The 23,293-nt window shown below is 37.0% G+C and overlaps 1 protein-coding gene across 15 annotated transcripts in view, besides 1 other annotated feature; it reads right to left on the bottom strand.

Moving 5' to 3' along the window:
* RBMS3 (RNA binding motif single stranded interacting protein 3) overlaps positions 1-23,293 on the bottom strand; it is a 729,325-nt gene that overhangs the window by 36,470 nt on the left and 669,562 nt on the right. The window lies entirely within an intron of this gene.
* Positions 770-1,362: an enhancer, noted in NCBI's record as "OCT4-NANOG hESC enhancer chr3:30014055-30014647 (GRCh37/hg19 assembly coordinates)". NCBI's record gives its function as "activates a minimal SCP1, AML or CMV promoter by ChIP-STARR-seq in primed H9 embryonic stem cells {active_cell/tissue: H9 hESC(primed)}" and the evidence as "EXISTENCE:reporter gene assay evidence [ECO:0000049][PMID:30033119]".

Genomic DNA, 23,293 nt, shown 5'->3' with positions numbered 1-23,293 from the left:
GATGGATGTGAGAAAATGAAGAGGGAAAAGTACTGAAAGAGGGGGCAACAATAAACAGAAAAGCAGGCTTAGCAGTGTCAAAGAACTGTTGCCATAGGGTCATGAAAGAAGTGTGTGGAAAGAAGGAGGTGGTCATCAGAATGTGATATGTGTGAAACTGAGTGCTTAAAATTGAGATTTAGAGTGAGCACAGTAATTGCTAAAGATAAATTCTAGGATAGAATAGAGAAAGGTCACCAGAAGTGAGGAGCTCAGGAAATTGAGAGGCCAAAGTGTTGTTTTGTTAAATTCCAATAAAGGATACACACACCTAATTCACTTACTAGGAACATTCAGTCAGAAACGTTTAAATCCCTATTATATGCCAAGTATTATGTTGAGAAGCCATATACTATGGCAATAAAGCATAGACTGGGTAATAGGACATGATAAAACCCAGAAAAAACTGGTTGAGTTACTAATACATTGGGTATCCTGGAGAACTCATTTCTCCTTGTTAATCTTACATATATAAAGCTATTTAATTTTAGGTATTATTTATCATTGCCAATATTACATTCACCATAGTACCCAGGAACCAAGTAGATAATCAAATTCCTGCAAATTGGATCTTTCGTATTGTTACTACTTTCTTCTTAGTGTTTCTATTTCACATTTGAATTTCTTGTCTGCTCATACCCTCTTCAGTGTTCCTTAACATTCTGTTTTCTTTTTGCCATATTAGTCTGGTTTGTAAATAATAAAGAATTTAAAAGTGCCTGTAAAGTGGTGACCTCCTTAAATAAGAGAGTCTGTTAAGGTCAAACCAACATTTATTATCAGTCTTTAAATTTGAAATAATCAAGAAATTAGTTTAACTGGCCTGACTGATCTATTATCTAGTTAGTTCTTCCAGAAACTAATATGAACACATAAACAACTAATGTCCTTAGCCTCTTTAGGTTCATTTAATTTTGTCTGTCGACTAGGCTTGCTTCTTTATTTTGGAAATGAAAGAACTGAGGGACTTCATCAAAAAGACAAAGGAACGAAGAAATCCTCAATGTGCCTGGAAGCTTTGTTGTTTTCTATTTAAGTTCTGTGACTAATGCATTAGATTGGGCTTGGTAAAGATGCTTTAGCCAAAGAGAAAGGGAACTTATTCAAACTGCCACACACAGAGTAAATTCCATTTCCACACAAAACATTTCCTTTTGATGGTCTCCAGCCCACACATCGTGAATGCCAATCATCCCAGTGGACTCAAGTAAATGATGCAACTAAACAAGAGAAAATGTTGAAGGCATTCCTTAATGTTTTCTGAAACAGAGCTCAGCCTCTAAAAGGGTCAGTGATATTATTTTTTAATCTGTTTTTTTAGTCAAGAGATTTTCAGAGACAGAACTTGACTTACTCAACTATTTTGAATATTCATATTAGAGGTTGATCCAAGATGGGTGGTGAGCAAATGAAGACAGGGAGAAAATGGAGAGAAGAAAAGAAGAGGCAGCAACATTCTAAATAAACAGAAAGTAATAGAAAACAAAAAGTTGGAAACTGCAAACAACAGGGCATAAAGCTATCTGATTAAAATACCTCTGGGAACTGTGCATATTTAGAGGGAAACAATTAAATGGTACTACTCTATCCATGTGAGTACAATTTGGGCAATATAAAAACAAAATGAAAAAGTCTCTGCAAGCCCTCTTTTTTCCAAGACTGTGAGGAGTTCAAAGTAAAGAAACAAAAGCAAAAAAAAAATAGAAAGGAGAACTGGAAGGAAATCGACCCTCTGGTGCCAGAGTCCAGATTCCACTCCTTGCCAAAGGAATTGAAGAATAGTTAGTTTGATGATAACCGTCAAGCAATGAAGAAGCAAAGTATGTAATTGTGGGGTAAATTTTATTCCACTCCCATTCAATTCTTAAAATCATTGTGACCTACATCATCTCAATTATGTTTGGCTATTCCAAAATCCACTTGCTCACAGTTAAGAGCATTTTCTTGCTAACCTCCTCCTTCTGGCCTTTTTTGTTTCCACTGTGTTCAAACTTTTTTTTTAATCCACCTACAACACAAATCCAAAACCTGTCTCTCAATCTGAGTCCAAATGCTAAATTCCTGTATGTTGCCTTGCTTCAGTCCCCCATTGGGAAATGGTAACTACCTCTTATGACATCTAACAGCTTTTTCTCTGTACCTCTGCTAAAGCTCTTAGCAGTCAAACCAGGTAAACTAGAAAGACCATGCCTAATTCGTTATGGTTGGTAGTTAATATATATTTGTTGAGTGAATGAATGAATGAGTGAGTGAATGAATAATTAAGCACTCTGGGTAAAAAGCTTAAGGTTTTCAAGGAGAACATAAAAAATTAAAGGAGAATAAAGTCCGTTAAAAAAGCAGGCTTCTTTTTTTAAATTGAATAATTAAGGGTGAGAATTAAAGGAAAAATATTAAAATTAAGAGAAAAGGAATTCTGAACCAGTAAAAAAATTCCCCTATACCTAACATATTTGAGAAGAAACTGGAGCCACTTATGAAACAACTTAAAATGAAAAACAAACAAACAAACAAACAAGTGTATTAGGACAAAAAGAAGCAGGATACCAAATGTATAAGTAAGATCTTCCATCATAGGAAGCTCTTGACAACATGGGGCTGTGGAGTACTCTGTTAAAAGGCATTCTGAAGTGAGGCCAAGGCTGAAATCATTGGTAATGAAATAATGTAGTTTTGAGGAGGTGAGAAGAGATGAGTAGTGGGCCAGGGTGGACAAGTGAGTCCAAGAGAGGAGGCAGTTATAAAGCGGGGAATGGGATAATCTTGTCTTTCTAAGAAAGATGGGAAGAGAGAAGACACTGGAGGAGCTGGAGAAGTGAGTCCAAGAGAGGAGGCAGTTATAAAGCGGGGAATGGGAGCATCTTGTGTTTCTAAGAAAGATGGGAAGAGAGAAAACCTGAAGAAGCTGGCGGGAAGACGGAGGAGAGAGGAGCCCATGAGTGGTATGGGCCTGAAATTCCACTTTGGTGAAGCTATTAAAAGGCATTTAAACCACAGAGATGTAGCTTTATATTCAAGTTGAAGTTATTGGAACGAACAATATGTTTCGATTCCTGAACACATCCCAAATCTTCATTAATGTGACTCTGAGTGGGATTTTTATGAGAAAATTGAAAAAAGATTAAATTTTACATCAAAATCAACCTAGAATAAAGAGAGCAAATAAAAGTGATTATTAATGCCCTTGAAAACTCAAATACATGTTGCATAAAGCTTTGGACTTCTAAAGGGTATGGGATTGAGGATTTTAGACAATCATCTGGTTTCAAAATATTGAGAGACCCAGTGATATCTCAGTTACATTCTCAAACAAAGAAAATAAATTGGATATAATCAACTCAAAAGGACAAATCTTAATATCTCCCATTCACTGGAAAAAATAAGATATAAAGGGTCTGAACATTAAGAGAGGCGTGTAAGAATTAGCTTCGAAAAAAAATAAAACTAATGAAATAAATAGATAAGCAAACCAGAAGTGCTCATTATTGGGTGGTAGCAAAGAAGAAGGCAGCCAAAATCAAACAAAAAGAAAAAGCAATACAGATATCATATTACTCTTCATTTTTATCTCCTAATTTTCTTGATCTGGTCTCACCTAGTTTCTTGGTCCTTGAATGCTATATCCTAGAAAACATTAGTTTCTGTTTAGGGCCTGGGGACACTCCTTCACTAACTCACAGGCTACTACGGACAGTTTTTCCCAAAAATGTTAACTACATATTTTTCTAGAGTTTTGCCCAATGAAGTCATGTTTCCTACATTATATACAATTTTTACTGAAAACCAATTATATTTAAACTGCTGTAAGTTTTAAAGTGGTGGATATAAACGAACATCCTCTTTAATGAATTTCATACACACTTATAGAAAATAAAAATATGTAGGTTTGAATTTCCTAAAAATACTCTTAAGTCTTGTCTCAAGGATATTTATAAAACAAGACAGATTTTTAAAAGAGGGATCAATGACTTAAGGTCAAAAGTAAAAATCAATCAAAAGTTGTACACTATAGACAGAAGGATATGAAGAATGATGACAAGGGTGAACTTCTATTTGCATTTTTTTCTTACAACTCAGCATTCATTTCCTATTCTTGATGATAATCCACATTTCTTTTGAAAATCCTATGACCCCCATTTCACTACCATGTAGTTACAATGTGATTGGCTCTACAGTTAGTGTATCCTGATCATTTGTTCAGAAATAAATGAAAATAGCCCTAACAGAGCCAATGAAACTTGATGTTTACTTAAGCTACTGGAAAGGAAAACATTCTCTTTTCCATACAGAGACACCTGGAAATGACCTATTCTCTTCCCTAGCATGGTGTAGTGTAAGCTTATGGGTCAGCGACTCTGTTACCATGATAGAGAGGACATAGATTTGTCAGATGTGAGAATATGGAATGTGAAGACAAATGCAAATGAATATAAAGAAAAAAACATGTAGTGATATCATTTGAGGCAGCTCTTGCTATTGGCTTTTTATATACATGAATCAATCAATTTCTTTTAAAATTAAACCATTTTGTGCTGGGTGTTTAACTGTTCTTTGTGGTTGGGGAGATCATATGAATTTAGAAGGGTAAATTAAGCAAGAGACGAAATCAGTTAAAAAGAAATACACAACATTGTCAACTCTGGTAGAATTATCCAAAATCGTTATCAGACCAGGGATAATCTTAGAGCCTTGTCTATTAGGCATTTAATCTTCCTTTTTCCTGTCAATCAGACTCAGTTGCCAATAGAACCTTCTCCAACATTGATATTTGACTATCCATTTAAAATGTTTATCCAAATCCAATTTGCCTAATTACTTTAATTATTTTCACCACTGTCTATGATAACTCAAAACTTTTCATGATTAAGAGACTCTAATTAAGCAGAAGTTTTTGAGATCTCTTAGGACAGCTATATGGAGAATGACCACCATCACTCTGCGTCTGTCTTACAATTAAATATCCATCACAGCGTGTGAAATTCCATCACTAGGGTCAAATGTTAACGCATTCAGGTATCATGGTGGACGGAAGGCAGAACTAGATTGCAGCTCCGGACAGAGCAGCATGCGGAGGCTTGCACTGTGAATTTTAGCTCTAGATCGACTGCAAGAACAAACCAGCAATCCTGAGAGGATCCACAGACCCTCTGAAGGAAGCGGACTGCTCCTGCAGGACCCAGGAAGCACCCTAAATACTGTGAGTGCCCCAACTGAGGAAGTGGGAACGGGACACCCTCCTCTCCTGAGCACACACCCCCACTGGAGAAGCTGAAGGTCTGTTTGTGGGAGAAGTTTCCGACTTTACCTGGAGCTGAGTCAAGTTAAGAGAGCCGAGCTGAGTGAAATACAGGGATAGAGGAAGCAGCAGAAAGGCCCTGGGAGCTCACCGGGTCCTCAAGCAGCCCATTCCTGCCTGGCACCACAGGGATCCAGCAGGAGGGTGGCCAGAGGGGCAGGAGCTAAAACTCCACTGGGAGAAGGAATTCTCTATCTGAAATTTGTAACAATTTGAATGGGGAGAGAAACCCCCGGCCAGAACTCAGGGGAGGGCATGAATCTGGCTAGCGGACTTCACAGGCAGGGGAAGATCTAAAGCCCTTTTCCTTTGCAGCTGGGAGGCAGAAAGCCTCGGGCAAGTTTTCAAGCCTGTCTCGCCCTCCACCTGGAAACAGACTGTTACGGGGGCAGGCCGGGTGGGCAGCCGTGGGAGTGAGTCCTGCCCTCTGGGATATCAAAACCTCTGGGATACAGCTAAGGTGGTGCTAAGAGGAAAGATCAAGCCCTAAATGCCTACATCAAAGAGTCTGAAATAGCACAAACTGACATTCTATGGTCACACTTTACAGAACTAGAGAAACAAGAACAAACTAAACCCAAACCTAGCAGAAGAAAGAAAATAACCAAGATCAGAGCAGAACTAAATGAAATTAAAACAAAACACAAAAATACACAAGATAAATGAAACAAAAATCTGGTTCTTTGAAAAGATAAATAAAATTAACAGGACATTAGTAAGATTAACCAAGAAAAGAAGAGAGAAAATCCAAATAACCTCACTAAGAAATGAAACAGTATTACAACTGACACCACTGAAATACAAAAGATAATTCAAGGCTACTGTGAACACATTTACACACATAAACTAGAAAACCTAGAAAAGACGGATAAATTTCTGGAAAAATACAACCCTCCTAGCTTAAATCAGGAAGAATTAGATGCCCTGAACAGACCGATAACAAGCAGCAAGATTGAAACAGTAATTAAAAAATTACCAACAACAACAAAAAGTCCAGGCCGGGCACAGTGGCTCACGCCTGTAATCCCAGCACTTTGGGAGGCTGAGGCAGGCAAATCACGAGGTCAGGAGATCAAGACCATCCTGGCTAACATGGTGAAATCCCGTCTCTACTAAAAATACAAAAAATTAGCCGGACATGGTGACACACACCTGTATTCCAAGCTACTCAGGAGGCTGAGGCAGGAGAAGCACTTGAACTCGGGAGGCAGAGGTTGCAGTGAGGCCAGAGACTGTCTCAAAAACAAAAATAAAAACAAAAACAAATCCAGGACCAGACGGATTCATAGAAGATTTCTACTAGACATTCAAAGAAGAATTGGTACCAATCCTTTTGACACTATTCCACAAGATAGAGAAAGAAGGAACCTCCCTAATTCATTCCATGAAGACAGCATCACCCGCTAATACCAAAACCAGGAAAGGACACAAGCCAAAAAGACAACTACAGACTGATATCCTTGATGAACATAGATGCTAAAATCCTTAGCAAAATAATAGCTAACCAAATCCAACAACAAAATGAGAAGATAATCCACCATGATCAAGTGGGTTTCCTACCAGAGATGCAGGGATGGTTTAACATACACAAGTCAATAAGTGTGATACACCACATAAACAGAACTAAAAACAAAAATCGTGGTCATCTGAATAGATGCAGAAAAAGCATTTGACAAAATCCAGCATCCCTTTATGATTAAAACCCTCAGCAAAATTGGCATACAAGGGACATACCTTAATGTAATAAAAGCCATATATGACAAACCCAGAGCCAACATAACACTGAATGGGGAAAAGCTGAAAGCATTCCCTCTGAGAACTGGAACAAGACAAGGATGCCCACTGTCACCACTCCTCTTTAACATAGTACTGGAAGTCCTAGCCAGAGCAATCAGACAAGAGAAATAAATAAAGGGCATCCAAATCAGTAAAGAAGAAGTCAAACTGTCCGTTTGCTGAGAATATGATTATTTACCTTGAAAACCCTAAGGACTCCTCCAGAAAACTCCTAGAACTGATCAAAGAATTCAGCAGTTTCTGGATACAAGGTTAATGTACAAAAATCAGTAGCTCTTCTATACACCAACAGTGACCAAGTGGAGAATCAAATCGAGAACTCAACCCCTAGCTGAAAAAAAATACTTAGGAATATACCTAACAAAGGAGTTGAAAGACCTCTACAAGCAAAACTACAAAATATTTCTGAAAGTAATCATAGACGACACAAATGGAAACACATCCCATGCTCATGGATGGGTAGAATCAATATTGTGAAAATGACCATACTGCCAAAAGCAGTATTCAAATTCCACAAAATCCCCATCAGAATACCACCATCATTTTCACAGAGTTAGAAAAAACAATTCTAAAATTCATATGGAACCAAGAAAGAGCCCATATAGCCAAAGCAAAAATAACAAATCTGGAGGTATCGCACCACCTGATTTTAAACTATAAGGCCGTAGTCATCAAAACAGCATGGTACTGATATAAAAATAGGCACATAGACCAATGGAACAGAATAGAGAACTCAAAAAATAAACCCAAATACTTACAGCCAACTGATCTTTGACAAAGCAAACAAAAACATAAAAGTGGAAAAAGGACACCCTTTTCAACAAATGGTGCTGGGATAATTGGTAGCCACATGTAGGAGAATGAAACTGGATCCTCATCTCTCACCTTATACAAAAATCAACTCAAGATGCATTAAGCACTTAAACCTAAGACCTGAAATTATAAAAATTCTGGAAGAATATTGGAAAAACCCTTCGAGACATTGGCTTAGGCAAGGATTTCATGACCAACAACCCAAAAGCAAATGCAATAAAAACAAAGATAAAGTTTTTTGGGCTTAATTAAACTAAGATGCTTTTGTACAGAAAAAGGAACAGTCAGCAGAGTAAACAGAAAACCCACAGAACGGGAGAAAATCTTCACAATCTATACATCTGACAAAGGACCGATATCCAGAATCTACAGTTAACTCAGACAAATCAGTAAGAAAAAACCAAACAATCCCATCAAAAAGTGGGCCAAGGACGTGAATAGACAATTCTCAAAAGAAGATATACAAATGGCCAACAAACATGTGAAAAAATGCTCAAAATCACTAATGATCAGGGAAATGCAAATCAAAACCACAATGCGATACCACCTTACTCTTGCAAGAATGGCCATAATCAAAAAATAAAAAAAACCAGTAGCTGTTGGTATGGGTGCAGTAATCAGGGAACACTTCTAAACTGCTGGTGGGAATGTAAACTAGTAAAGCTGCTATGGAAAACAGTGTGGATATTCCTTGAAGAACTAAAAGTAGAACTACCATTTGATCCAGCAATCCCACTACTGGTTATCTACCCAGAGGAAAAAAATAATTATTATTATTCAAAAAATATACTTGCATATGCTTGTTTATAGCAGCACAATTCACAACTGCAAAATCATGGAACCAACCCAAATGCCCATCAATCAACAAAGCGGATAAAAAAACTGTGGTATGTATATATGATAGAATACTACTCAACCATAAAAATGAATGAATTAACAGCATTTGCAGTGACCTGGATGAGATTGGAGACTATTATTCTAAGTGAGGTACTCAGGAATGGAAAATCAAACATGTTATGTTCTCACTGATGTGTGGGAGCTAAGCTATGAGGACAAAAAGGCATAAGAATGATATAATTGACTTTGGGGACAAAGGGGGAAGAGTGGGAGGGGAGTGAGGAATAAAAGACTACAAATATGGTGCAGTGTATACTGCTAGGGTGATGGGTGCACCAAAATTTCACAAATCACCACTAAAGAACTTACTCATGTAACCAAATACCACCTGTACTCCAATAACTTATGGAAAAATAAAATAAAATTAAGAAAATTAAAAAGAAATGTTAATGCATTCAGAAATTAGTATTTTACCATACAATTGGCCCCCAAGAAGGAGTTGGGAGACTCCCGAGGAAAGGTTACCAGTTAGTTTTCATGAAGGAAAGAAGAAACTGTAGACAACAACTGATTAGATAGCCTCCAGAGGTATAAAGTTCAGAAAAAGAAAGTTTTTAGAAAAGCCCGGGAGAAGAGAATATAAAATGGTGAATGAGTATAATAGAAATGGGATATTGGATAGTCCCAGACTAACCAGTTTGTTTAAGCTTATCCTGCACATGCCACTAGATCTAATGTATCCTGGCACTGTATTTCTGCTATCATACCACTCTACTTTCTTACCTGATTGGATTTCCCTTTCCAGTGTTAATAAACGTTGGAGTCCTCTACATACCATTCATTTAATTCTTCTGTTAATTTTTGGAGACTGACTTTTTAAAACTAAATTTCACATGGTGCTTGTGATCCAAATACCCTATTTCTATTAGATACTTCACATAATTTCTGAAGTCTTATGTTATACTTCACACACTATTTTAAATATCAAAAATGACAACAAAGTATAGGAAGATCTGATATAACTGGGTTTTTAATAAGCATTTCAGAAACACACTTCGTGGTGGATTCCTTTTAATCCATATTTTCTGAATTATATTCTATGGAAGATGTGTTCCAATAAAATTTTTACAGGTGTTCTACATACAATGAAATCTGAGCAAACAAATTTGAAATATGATGAAATAAGCCAAGCTAAATAGGTTTTCAGTTTTTCTTGGAGGTGTGAGTTACTTTTTCTCTTGTCCTCCTTCATTCTTTACATCCATTTTCTTCCTTTATGTACTCAGCCTTTAATACACTTTTTTTTTTTTTTTTTGGAGGGGGCAGCCTGGTTCTGTCACCTAGCCTGGAGTACGGTGGTGGGATCTTGGCTCACTGCAACATCTGCCTCCAGGGTTCAGATGATTCTCCCACCTCAGCCTCCAAGTAGCTGGGATTATAAGCACGCGCCACCACACCCAATTAATTTTTGTATTTTTAGTGGAGATGGGGGTTCACCATGTTACCCAGGCTGGTCTCAAACTCCTGACTTCAAGTGATCCACCTGCCTTGGCCTCCCACAGTGCTGGGATTACAGGCATGAGACACCGAGCTTAGCCAATGTGAAAATGTTCATTGTGATTCTCTTAAGTGTTTGTAAGAAGACAAAAACAGTCTGCTACATTTCCCAAAGGTGGTAAATCTTATACGTTTTTTGTTTAAGTACAACACTAATATCTCATAAGACTGAGAGGAATCCTTTAGGATCCTTTCAAACTTTCAAACTTGGCTTTACATTGTAATCACCTGGGAAGATTTAATAAACTACTGATGCTTGGATCCACCCACGGATATGCTGATTTAATTGGCCTGGACTGTAACCTGGGCATTCGGGCATTTAATGCTCACATGGTGATTTTACTAGGCTACAAAATTTCAGATCTCTTACTCTAGGGAATGTTTGGGAAATGATGTTTAAATATGTTCCCTAAGGAAATCTATATGACCAAAAGATAAATCAAATTTAAGTTATAATTTTGTGTTGAGTACTTTGCATTTTGATCATTTTTCCATGGGATTTTATCTTGCATTCTGAACAGGAAAGTAAAACAGAAAAAAAAAAAAATCTCCAAAGTAACTGGAAGCAATTGTGAAGGGCACAGGGGATACAGAACTGGAAGCAATGTGAAGGGCACAGGAGATAAGTAAATATATGCACAATAAAATCTATTTCCAGTTCTATGTAGGATTTATTCTACAGGCACTGAGAGAAAAATAGAAGAAAAAAAAAAGGAGCTGTCCTCATTAGCTGTGAGTCAAAGTGAATCAGTAGTCAAGGAAGGTTAATTTGACTGTGACATTTGGGCCTCAGTTGAGAGATTTATTTCTAGTTTTATATATTTTATAAATACAAACAGTGAATAATCAGGATTAGATGCTTTCAGTTATGAAAAGAGTCTTAATATCCAAGCAAGATGTAATCCTCTTAGCTGGTATTGACACCAGTGGAAAATAAAAAGGGCCAATTTAGTTACTGCCCTAATTACTAGAGGTTCAAAGGATCATGCTAGGGATGCAGGGCTTGTTGGTATGGTATTATATATATATATATATGAGTCTTGACCCATATTAAAAACAGAGCTTTAACTCAGTAAAACCTATATAAAGTAACCATGTAGAAACACTAGGATTTCATACCCATACACCCCACCTCAGTGCCGTTATGTTTATAAACAATTGTGCCTCCCTCCTCTTCAGACCAAGAGATGAGGAATGAGCTATCATGCTGGTTTTAGACCTCTAGAATTCTAAAAGTTATAACCAACTATTCCATAGCGGATACACATACTATGCGAAGGTACTGATCATTGGATTTCATTTTTTCTAGGACTTCCTACTTATATCATTTTATCCTGATAGTTTTTATTGTACTGGATAAACTCAAATAGGGATTTATTTATTTTTCTCCAAGGGGACCAATACACTCATTTCCAACCTAAGTGAAATTATGTCAGTCTTCAAAAAAAGTCATGCAAAAGGAAGGAAATCATAAAAGAAAGATATGTATATATATCTTATTATATATACAATATATAATAATATATTATATATACACATATATAATATATTATACATACAAAATATATATAAAAATATATAATATATATATTATATATATTAATATATATTATACATATATATGTATAATTCTGGAAGGAAGGAGTTTGACTGATAAAGAAAAATTAACATTCTACACAAGACTAAAATGTCTACTGTCAGTTTAACTCCCTCCTGATTAGATTTTGCTGTGTCCCCACCCAAATCTCATCTTGAATTGTAGTTCCCATAATCCTCACATGTTGTGGGAAGGACCTGGTGGGAAGTAATTGAATCATGGGGGCAGCTACCTCCATGCTGTTCTCAGGATAGTGAGTGAGTTCTCATGAGATCTAATGGTTTTATAAGGGGTTATTTCCTTCTTTGCTTGGCACTTCTTCCTTCCACCATGTGAAGAAGGATATATTTCCTTCACCTTCCACCATGATTGTTGTAAGTTTCCCGAGGCCTCCCCAGTCCTGCAGAACTGTGAGTGAATTAAACCTTTTTCCTTTATAAATTACCCAGTCTCATGAAGTTCTTCATAGCAGCATGAGAACAGACTAGTATAGTAAATTGGTACTGTGTAGTGGGGTGCTGCTGTAAAGATACCTGAAAATGTGGAAGCAACTCTGGAACTGGGTAACACGTAGAGGTTGGAACAGTTTGGAGGGTTCAGAAGAAGACAGGAAGATGTGGGAAACTTTGAAACTTCCTAGAGACTTGTTGGATGGTTTTTACCAAAATGCTGATAGTGATATGGACAATGAAGTCCAGGCTGAGGTGGTCTCAGACGGAGATAAGAAATTTCTTGGGAACTAGAACAAAGGTGACTCTTGCCATGCTTTAGCAAAGAGACTGGAGGCATTTTGCCCCCGCCCTAGAGATCTGTGGAACTTTGAACTTAAGAGAGATGATTTACGGTATCTGGTGGAAGAAATTTCTAGGCCACAAAATATTCAAGAGGTGACACAGCATAAAAGTTTGGAAAATTTGCATCTTGACAATGCTATAGGAAAGAAAAACCCATTTTCAGGGAGAAATTCAAGCTGGCTGCAGAAAATTGCATAAGTAATGAGGAGCCAACTGTTAATCACCAAGACAATGGGAAAAATGTCTCCAGGGCATGTCAGAGGTCTACATAGCAGCCCCTCTCATCACAGGACCAGAGGCTAAGGAGGAAAAATAGTCTCCTGAACCAGGCCCAGGGTCCCTTCACTGTGTGCAGCCTAGGACTTAGTGACTTCTGTGTTAGCTGCTCCAGCCATGGCTAGAAAGGGGCCAAGGTACGGCTTGGGCTATGGCTTCAGAGAGTGCAAGCCCCAAGCCTTGGCAGCTTCCACGTGGTGTTGAGCCTGCAGGTGCACACAAGTCAAGAATTGAGGTTTGAGAATCTCTGCCTAGATTTCAGAGGATGTATGGAAAAATCTGGATGTCCAAGCAGAAGTTTGCTGCAGGGACAGAGAACTCTCATGGAGAACTTCTGCTAGGGCAGTGTGGAAGGGAAATGTGGGGTGCGAGTTCCCACACAGAGTCCCCCCTGGGGCACTGCCTACTGGAGCTGTGAAAAGAGGGACACTGTCTTCCAGATCCCAGAATGGTAGATCCACCAACAGCTTGCACTGTGTACCTGGAAAAGCCACAGGCACTCAATTCCAGCCTGTGAAAGCAATTGGGAGGGGAGCTGTTCCCTGCAAAGCCACAGGGGCAAAGCTGCCCAAGGCCATGGGAGCCCACCTCTTGTACCACATCCCTGGATGTGAGACATGGAGTCAAAGGAGATCATTTTGGAGCTTTGAGATTTGACTGCCCCACTGGATTTTGAACTTTCATGGGGTCTGTAGTCCCTTTGGTTTGGCTAATTTCTCCCATTTGGAATAAGTATATTTATCCAATTCCTGTACTCACATTGTATCTAGGAAGTAACTAACTTGCCTTTGATTTTACAGGCTCATAGGTGGAAGGAATTTCCCTTGTCTCTGATGAGACTTTGGATTTGGACTTTTGGGTTAACGCTGGAATGAGCTAAGACTTTGGAGGACTGTTGGAAAGGCATGATTGTGTTTTGAAAGGTAAGGACATGAGATTTGGGAGGGGCCGGGGTGAAATAATATGGTTTGGGTATGTCCCCACCCAAATCTCATCTTGAATTGTAGTTCCCATAATCCCATGTTGCAGGAAGGATCTGGTGGGAGACAATTGAATCATGGGGCAGTTCCTCTATGCTGTTCTTGTGATAGTGAGTTCTCAGGAGATCTGATGGTTTTATAAGGGGCTTTTCCCACTTTGCTTGGCACTTCTCCTTGCTGCTGCCATGTGAATAAGGATGTGTTTGCTTCCCCTTCCACCACGATTGTAAGTTTCCTGAGGCCTCCCGAGCCCTGCAGAACTGTAAGTCAATTAAACCTCTTTCCTTTACACATTACTCAGTCTTGAGTAATTCTTCGCAGCATCATGAAAATGAACTTATATACCTCCCACTGTTTTAATCATTTTATCCTTTCCCCATTCACACACAGCCAATGTTTGTGATTTGCTGATTGGCTTAAGTGGTTCTCAAACTCACCATCAGAATCATGCACCAGAGTCACCTGGAGGCTTTTTAAAAATAAGATGGTTCCACCTCCACCCTCACCCCCTGCCCAACCCTTTTGGGTTCAGTAGATCTGGGTCAAGGCCTGAGAATCTGTATGTCTAACAAGCTCTCAGGAGATGCTGTGCTGCTAGACTGGGATCACAGTTTGAGAACTATTGCTTTAAAAAATTGAACATGCTAAGTCAAAAGCTTGGAATCCTGTGATGTGGGAAAGATTGAGTATCTATTATGACTATGCCAATATCTCATCTAACTCTCATAGTATATCTCTGTGAGTATTGTCATTATCTTCTTTACAGATGGTAAGACAGCTTCAGAGAACCCATACATACAGTCCATGCAAGAGCTGGGATTTAAATGCTCATCTTGTTCAAAACTTGTATTCATTCTTTCACCATATGCTGCCTGCTCAGCATTAAGATGGGATGAGGTACTTCTATTGAGCAGTCGAATTCTTGTATCTTCTCATTATGTCTGGCCATTCAGGAATGAACTATGGTGAAAAAGGGGTAGTAAAGGGAACTCACTGCAGAAATGAACACAAAAGCTGAACTTTCATGCTTTATTTAACAAGAATGCATCAGCTGTACTGCCTACTTTAATACTCATTTTTTAACACACAAATTACTGATTCTAGAATAAGGCCTGTGAAGTTGATATACTTTCCTTTAGCCCACTAACAGCATTTCACTCTTGGTGAGACTGCTAAGAAAAGTTATTTTAGGAACTGGGACCTATACACAAATAGACGCTTTAGCATCACATTAATTTAATTCTTCAAATGAACTTAAAGTCTAAATGGCTTGGTTGACAAGCACAAATGCCGGTAGTGTGAGTTTTAAAGCTAACGGGCACCTTATAAAGTATAAGCTAAGGCAATATAATTCAATTGAGTTTAGAGGATTAAAAAAAAACTCTCAGATTTTGCCTCAACTAGCCAAGTTCGAGGGCATCAATCAAACATACTTTCCTAAAGGGATTAAAATAACAGCAGAGTTTTTTTTTCTGCATGAATGCTAAAGGAATTTAAAAAATACCTAGAATGACTGCTTACTTTACATTTATATCCAGTTTTATAATGAGAAAAATCAAGAGGAAAAACATTTCTTTGAGAGTAAGGAATTCAAGAAACTGAAATCCAAAGACAGGAACAACAAAAAAGAAAGGCTTTCAAAAGATTAATTGATATTTTATCCCTTTGAATACCTAATCTGCAAGAATTTTCAATGTCATTTAGAAAACATTATATTTCTTGCAGACTGTCAGGAAAAAAATAGGACAAAACAAATGAGAAAGAAAGAGGGGAAGACAGCAAACTTTTCTGCTAGATGAAAGGGTGCCTTGTTTGTTCATGGCTGAAAATCACATCTAAGGAAAACCAGCCCTATGTACACAGGCTGGCTGCATTTCTTCAGTAAGCTCTCGATGTAATAGTGTATCACTAACAGACTGAATATGGTGCTATTCCATTTCATTAATGAAAAAGAACTAAAAGACATTACTTGCTCTGATTGCCATTAACAATGATGGTGAGGCACCTGATGTGTGTCCAGAGAATCTGTAAAAGGCATAACATAGGCTATTGAAGAATCTATTTAAAAAAATAAAAATAAAGCAAAGATGCGATGTCATTGGGACCAGTGTATGTTTGCAATGGTGTACGTGTGAGGTATCTTGGCGATGAAAAGAGTATAAAAGTACTTTTACAAGGTGACACTGGGGAATCAATTATGAGGATGTTAGTAAGATAAATGAATATGATGGCTATCTAGGGAAAATAAGAAAATGAAACCTTTCAGATAAGCAACATTGCTGAAGGGCATTCATATTTCTAATAGACACATTGTACATTTCCACCAATATCTTAAATTATTTCATATAAGCATCATTTTCCAATTATTCTACTGTCTCCAAATCCTTTGACATCCTCCCAACTCCATTTTCTTGTCATGAGTCTTTCCTATCCCCTTCAGAAAGCTCTCTGCACTTAGTTGTTCATTCACATTTCCAGACTTCTTGGGAATTCTGAGTCTGTTTTCCTCTTGCTATTTTAATCTTTTGAGGAGAAAGTTAGGATTATGTAGAATGTGTGTCTAACGAATCAGCATTTTTACATATAGGTATCATTTATTCAATCAATGAATATTTAATAAACACCTACCATGGGCCAGATGTTGCTGGATTATGGAGAAATAAGGTAAATATGAATAGTCTCTGCTCTAAGAGTTTATAGCCTTTACTCTAGAGGGGAGAAATGATAATTAAACTGGAAATGGTGATTCAGTGTGCTAAATGTTACAATAAAGGTATTCCCAGACACCTAAGGGGAGAGAAAACTCTAAGACAAGACAAAAGGATAAGGCAACCTTCCAAGAAGAAGAAAACATTTGAGACAATTGCTGTGAAACAAGCCAGCATTAGCAGGTTGAAGAGTAAAGGAAACACATTCTAGATGAGGATTTGCTCATGTTTATCTACTCCCACTTATGCAAAGACCCTGCAGGCTTGGCCCATCCCAGAAACTGAAAGCAGTTCATTATGGCGGGAGAACAGAAGTAGTAACAGATGAATGTGAAAAAGGAGGCATCAGGATCATGAAGGGCCTTGTTGCACAGGCTAAGGACTGAGGATTATGTCCTGAAAGCTGCAAAAGGATTTCAAACATGTCCTGTTTGTTTCAGAAACGTGGCTCTGGGGCTGTAGAGAAAATGAATTGAATGGAAAGAAGGCTTGAATCAGTCCGACCAGTTAGATGGATATTGTGCTAGTCCTGCCAAAGGATGGCAGTTACCTAGAGTAACTTTCTGGAAGAGATACTTTTAAATTTTAGAACTGTGAGAGAAAATTCAGGCATCTGACTAGCCTAGTATTACCTCCCCCACTTTTTCTCTCCACATTTATTAAGAGTAAAAGCCAACATTGAAGTATATAATTGAGGGAGAGTTCTTACTTAAAGACTTATTTAGATCAAAAATTTGAGCTTTAATACCACAAGGGATAAAAGGAATGGCAGAGCCCTTGATCTCCAAACCTCCAGGAACTTATAATCTAAAGGTAGGTTGGAGAGAAGATAGCGAGGAATGTGCAAATATCTCATAGAAGGTGGAATTCATCAGGTGGTAACAGAAAACTTTGAGAGTTTTCAAAATAAAGTGTGAAAATCAGAAAAACTCACAAGATTTGATCCACAGAGATGGCAGGTGTGGCAGGGAAGAAATTCCAGGTGGAAAGTGAGCATGAGCAAAGAAAGCAAGCACTCACCATTAAACACATCTTACAAAGAACTGTGACTAGTGAAAGAAGAGTCGTGAAGCAGACAGAAAGAAAACTAGTTGGGAAAGTAGCTTGAAGATTATACTGTGGCAGGCCTTGAACACAAGGTTGATAAGTTCTTCTCAATTCTTGTAGTATTTGAGTTGTGGCTCTTGACAGATAAAAATAATACACTAGTCATTTCCATTTCCAGAATTTATTTAATTATAGTCCACCTTGCTTCCCAAAACTATTTAAGGCAGCTTTCAAGGTTGTATAAAATATTGCAGTGTCAAATAAGTGAGAAAAATCAGGTGAAGGGAAAGAGAGTAAGATGAAGTGAGCAAACAGGCTAATTAAATAAATGCTATTAAAATGTTACCAGAGTTAGTTAGCAATGATTTATACAAGTCACTGTGTCCATTAGGTAAGAAAATAAGCTAGGTGCATTGAAGAATGATTCCCAATATGGAAGGAAGACAGATGTTTCTCCTGTGAGTCTGAAAGGAGCAGACACTGTGTGGTCTAATGAACAACAGCCTTAATATAGCAAAGCAAGTTTCCAAGGTCTATTTATTATAGTGTCCTTCACACATAAACAAATGGTACTGTGCCAAGGCATACTTCATGAAGAGCTGTTTCACGGGTCCAGTGGAATGCAGTCATCCAGGTAAAACAGCTTTTTTTTAGCTTAATCCAAGGATCTAACTTAGAATATCCAAGGAAAATGGATATACTGCATAAGATCCAAATATTTCTCCAAAAATATCATTTCTCTTAGTCAAGGTTCTGAAAGGTATGAGTGGCAGTGACTTTGAAATTGTTATGTTTCTTAAAAAGTACTTGGAATGTAGCTTTCTTTGCTGCTGGTTACACACAGGACCATATGTTTAAACTATCAGCTGAAATCGGCATTGGATGATAGACTCAAATGGAAGAAGCGAAGAAGAATGAGAACCCGCTGACTCCTTTCAAGACACATACCCCTTCACTTCGATGTTAGCTGCAGGAAGGGCAATATTTCTGTCAGAGAAATTTTAGGTCTCCTCTCAAGCAGAGGCCAGTGAGCAGCTATCACCATACTGTGGTTCTGTGGTATGACATAGTTGTTATACCTGCCTCCTTGTAGAACAATCTCCATAAGCTAACTACAGCTTTAAGTAGTGTAACATTTCTGGTATATACTGGTTATGAGTTAGAGGGCTGCTGTTAGAAAAGATGACTTTAGATTCAGAAATCTGATCTGTATCCTACTTTCTGGCAGTGATCAGATGGTAGGGATAATTATCTACTAAGGTAACTCCTAATTGTTCTATTAACATATTCTTGAAGATAAAATTTTTTAAATGTTAATCTCAAAATTTATTCAAGAATGTGTGTGAAGGATGAATAGGAAAGAGAAGTGCTAGGTGTTGACACCAAAACAACACTCAAATAATAAAACTAGAATGTAATAAGAACCCAGCCTGGACCTGGGTAATAGAATGGAATGGGTATAGCAGATTCAAAATACATTGTAGAAATAGGATCTACATGAAAAAGGAAGATTGCATGTGGCATAGAGTGCACCAAAACACCTCTGAGGTTTTAAGCACCATTGGCTGAAAGAAAAATAACTCACCAATTGGTAAAAGATTTCCTGTCCTACTCTAAGCTTAGTATAATATTAAATCATATGGTTCTCACCCCAAAGAGAAGAGCTATACTCTAAGCTACTGTCAAAGACTCTAACAATCTTAAACTTGTAGCTACACTTAAAACATCTTGGCTTAGATAAAGAATGCTTATAGAGGTTTGCTTGAACCCTAGGGAAGTCTGCAGAAGAAACTGGATTGAGAAGCAAGATTATGAGACATTTGAAATTGTGAACAAGAAGTTTGAACTATAAATGGGCCAGGTAAGAGTGGATAGGGGATATCTAGGAAGTAGTTGGAAACTTTGGCATGAAAAGCAAAATAGATGATAGGATTTAGCAATATAGATTTGGAGGTCATCTATATAACAGTTAAAAGTGAGGAAGCACATGATGCCACTGAGAAAAAAATGAAGAAAAGCAAGGTGTCATAAGACCAGCACCATGAGAATCTTGAGGCAAGAAGGATCTACACATTTCATTAAGCATAGGAAAAATCATCATTGAATAAATATATATTGAATAAGGTGCATCTGGGATAGAGGGCAATCAATGCTATAAGACCATAAAAACAAATTGAGGCAGATGAAATCAAGAACATACAAGGAGGGGTTAACATTGACAAAAAGAGGACTATGGCTTGACAAAAGAGGAAGATAGGAAGAAGGGAAAAATGAAGAAACAAACATTTGAAGATCGGATAAAATGTGGTACTGATCTTCTCATAAAGAAAGAGTCATTTTTTAGCATAAATGGGAAGACTCGTGTTTGGAACTTAAAAAGGTGAAAAAGGTTAAAACAGCTGAAGGAGCATAAATATGAGTGTGGGTCCAGCTGAGCTTATAAAGAACGAATTTGCAGAGGACAAAGAAACTCCCTGCGGAATGATTGTGACAATCAAATGTTACAAATCAATTCACGTAGAGCACTAAGAACAGTGCCTAGAACATAGTATGTATGTGATGAATACATACTATGTGATGAATAAAACACTATTTACCCTCTCTCATGTTTGCATTTATATTTCACCAAGGACATTTAATATTCTGCTATATTTTTGTTAGGCAATATTATAATTGCCCTTGAGATAAGGAAAGAATTTATGGAAATCTTTCAAATAACCTTTAATTAGCTGGAAGCTATTTGCAAGGTCATAGCATTCCCAACTAAACAATTTTCGAAGATTATCAACAATTTTCAGACAAGGCCACTCAAGGACTGTGGTGGACAAAAGAGAGACAGGTACATTCTGCAAACCTAAACAATCAAACATCTCCTTTTTCTGTCTAACATTAATGACGGCTGCATCTTTGCCAATGACAGCTCGAGCCCTTCTTTCTTCTTCCCAACTACTAAATAACACTTAAGACACACAATCATTCAATTGCCCCTCATTTCCAGGTATCACTCAATGTGGAATAAATGGTCACTTCTTCACACCCTTCCCAAAGTCATATTGCACAAGCTCTAATTCTGTAATAAGCCCTTCCAGACTTCCTTTTCTGAGATGCTCCACAGTTCAACTGGTATATATTTTCCCTTGTTTCAGCAAGCTAATGAACTTAACTATGTTTGACTATAGTTGATCCTTGGTTTTCTTTGGCTAGTAGGCTTCAACCCTCCAGAACAAGTATCTCAAGAATCTCAATAATTTTTACCAAATCTTCATATTTTATTTGCTAATGTAACTGCTCAATTATGAATAAAATTCATATTTCCTGGATCTGGAGTCCTGTGCATTCCCGTATCTGAGTCTCTTGGGCAAACTGCTAGACTCAGAGCAGGCACATAAAGTTCCCTGATAAAAAATAATATACTGATATATTCCACATGATCAAAATAAATAAAACTTAGTGGTAGAAAGGAAGGAAGAATAAACAATATCTTGGGTGGCAAAAGCACTTAGAAGTTATATCAGCTTGATTGGGTAAGTATAAGTATTTTGTAATTACAGCTCAGGGAAACAAATCAACAGCAGATTTCATTTTAAGCAGAAAAGTAAAAAAAATGTGTATATAGTAGTAGTCTAAGTTGCAGAAGTTAGACATAATATGTAATTAAAAGTGTATTATATACCGTCCCCTTTCAAATATGTCATATCAGTTCTGTAAACCACAAGAGCCTTGATGTCTCACATAATATAAACTGGGAAGATTTTAGGTTGTTCCAACTGCTGCATGCAAGAAACATAATATATCATTTGAAATGTGATTTCAATACGAAAAGTGGCATTAACTATTGGTTATGGAAATATTGATCTTCTGGTAGGTGGAAAATGGATTTACATAAAATTTAATGAATTTAGGTTATAGAATCACTCAAAAATTCTGCCAATTCTATATAGAGATATAATGTCTCTTTTAATCTTGCTCTAAATGCCATAACGTTGAGATGTGATGAGTAGAGGTGGGGAAAATGTTAGAGGTTACCCCTGCTACTGCTATCATGCATATAATCACCACACTCATTATCATCATCTTTATTTTCATTTTCACACAGTCATGTTTTTCTGGTACATAAATGTCTCCTTAAAACTGTTGCCATTTCAAAGACTGTTATTAAAGTTTTAATAAGTTATAAGTGTAGCAAAGCAACATTTCAAGAAGTTTAGAAATAGAAATTGAAAACACATATGATAATAATTTTATGCATTCTTTTCTAGATTTTTTCATGTGTATGTTTTAGGCCTCAAAATCATAATGATTGTTCACTTTTGTCATCTTTTCACTGTGCATTATGAACATTCTTTTTCATGTTATTAAATATTTATATTTATATTAATTCACCTAGTAATATCATAATAGTTTGGCCAATAAGAAAGATAATATAATTAACTCTCTTACTATTTCTTTTATTTTTAGATATTGAGTTTGGAAACTATTTAAAAAGACTCCTTTCTTTGGATAAGTTAATCTAACATAGCAAATATAAGATTAATGATACTTCAAAAAGTCCTAACACACTTTCCTGAATCCAAAGAAAGGAAGCAGAAAGGAAGCTTCAATTATTTAATATCGATCATGAGTCACGCCCTTACTAGGTACTTTGGACATATCCTTTCAATTAATCCTTTTATTGTTGTGTATATATAAAGGGTAATGAATAGATTATATACTCTCTACTCTTAAGGAGAGAAAAGCTAAGCTTCAGAAAATTTAAGTAACTCTAATTGTTAAATAATTATTAAATAATATGACTCAGAAATCACATACATCCTGTGAATTCTAAAAATCATTTTGATTTTTTCTACCATACTTTTTCCTGTTTAAAACTGCATGTGTGAGAATGAAAACAAACAGTGTCTGGTGGTAAATTTTTAGATAAGATCAACACACAATCAAAATCGTCTTTCATTTTGTCCTTCTCCTAAGATGTTTAGCACACAAACTTCCCATTAGCCCAATAGTATTTCTTCATTTATTTTTTAATAAAGGAATTAGAAGCTTTGTACTTCCAAGTTGAATTTGTGGAAGATTTACAAAATTAAGCACTGCATTAAGAAGCACAATTAAAAATACCAGCAAATCAACAAACAGTTAAGAGCAATAGAGAGAACATGCTACCAGGAACATTTGCAATGTACTCCATCTAATTCCAACTATCCTGATAACCAAGGCTAAGGGAAAATAGATTAAGCTGGGTATTTTACATTGTTAGTTAAAAATAAGTATATTCATTCATCTGGAGAGAGATACTTGCTGAGACACTGAACTCAAGGATCTATTAATCATTTGCTTCTTTATATAAAAGACATTGGGTAAAATAACAGACAATTTGGTTTGCTGTGGCATCTCAAAAGGCTGGTAACATTGTTTAAATGTTCGTGTAATATATTGCTTCTCAAAGAAGAGGTTAAAATGTTAAAATTTTAACTGAGAGAAAACATTTCAATAGGGATGTCCAATTTTATGGTTCGGGCATTTTGCATTCTGATTAACTAATTTAACATAGGGTC

Source organism: Homo sapiens, chromosome 3, assembly GCF_000001405.40.
Source record: "Homo sapiens chromosome 3, GRCh38.p14 Primary Assembly".
Classification (NCBI taxonomy): Eukaryota; Metazoa; Chordata; class Mammalia; order Primates; family Hominidae; genus Homo; species Homo sapiens.
This window is presented reverse-complemented; position numbering and strand designations above follow the sequence as displayed.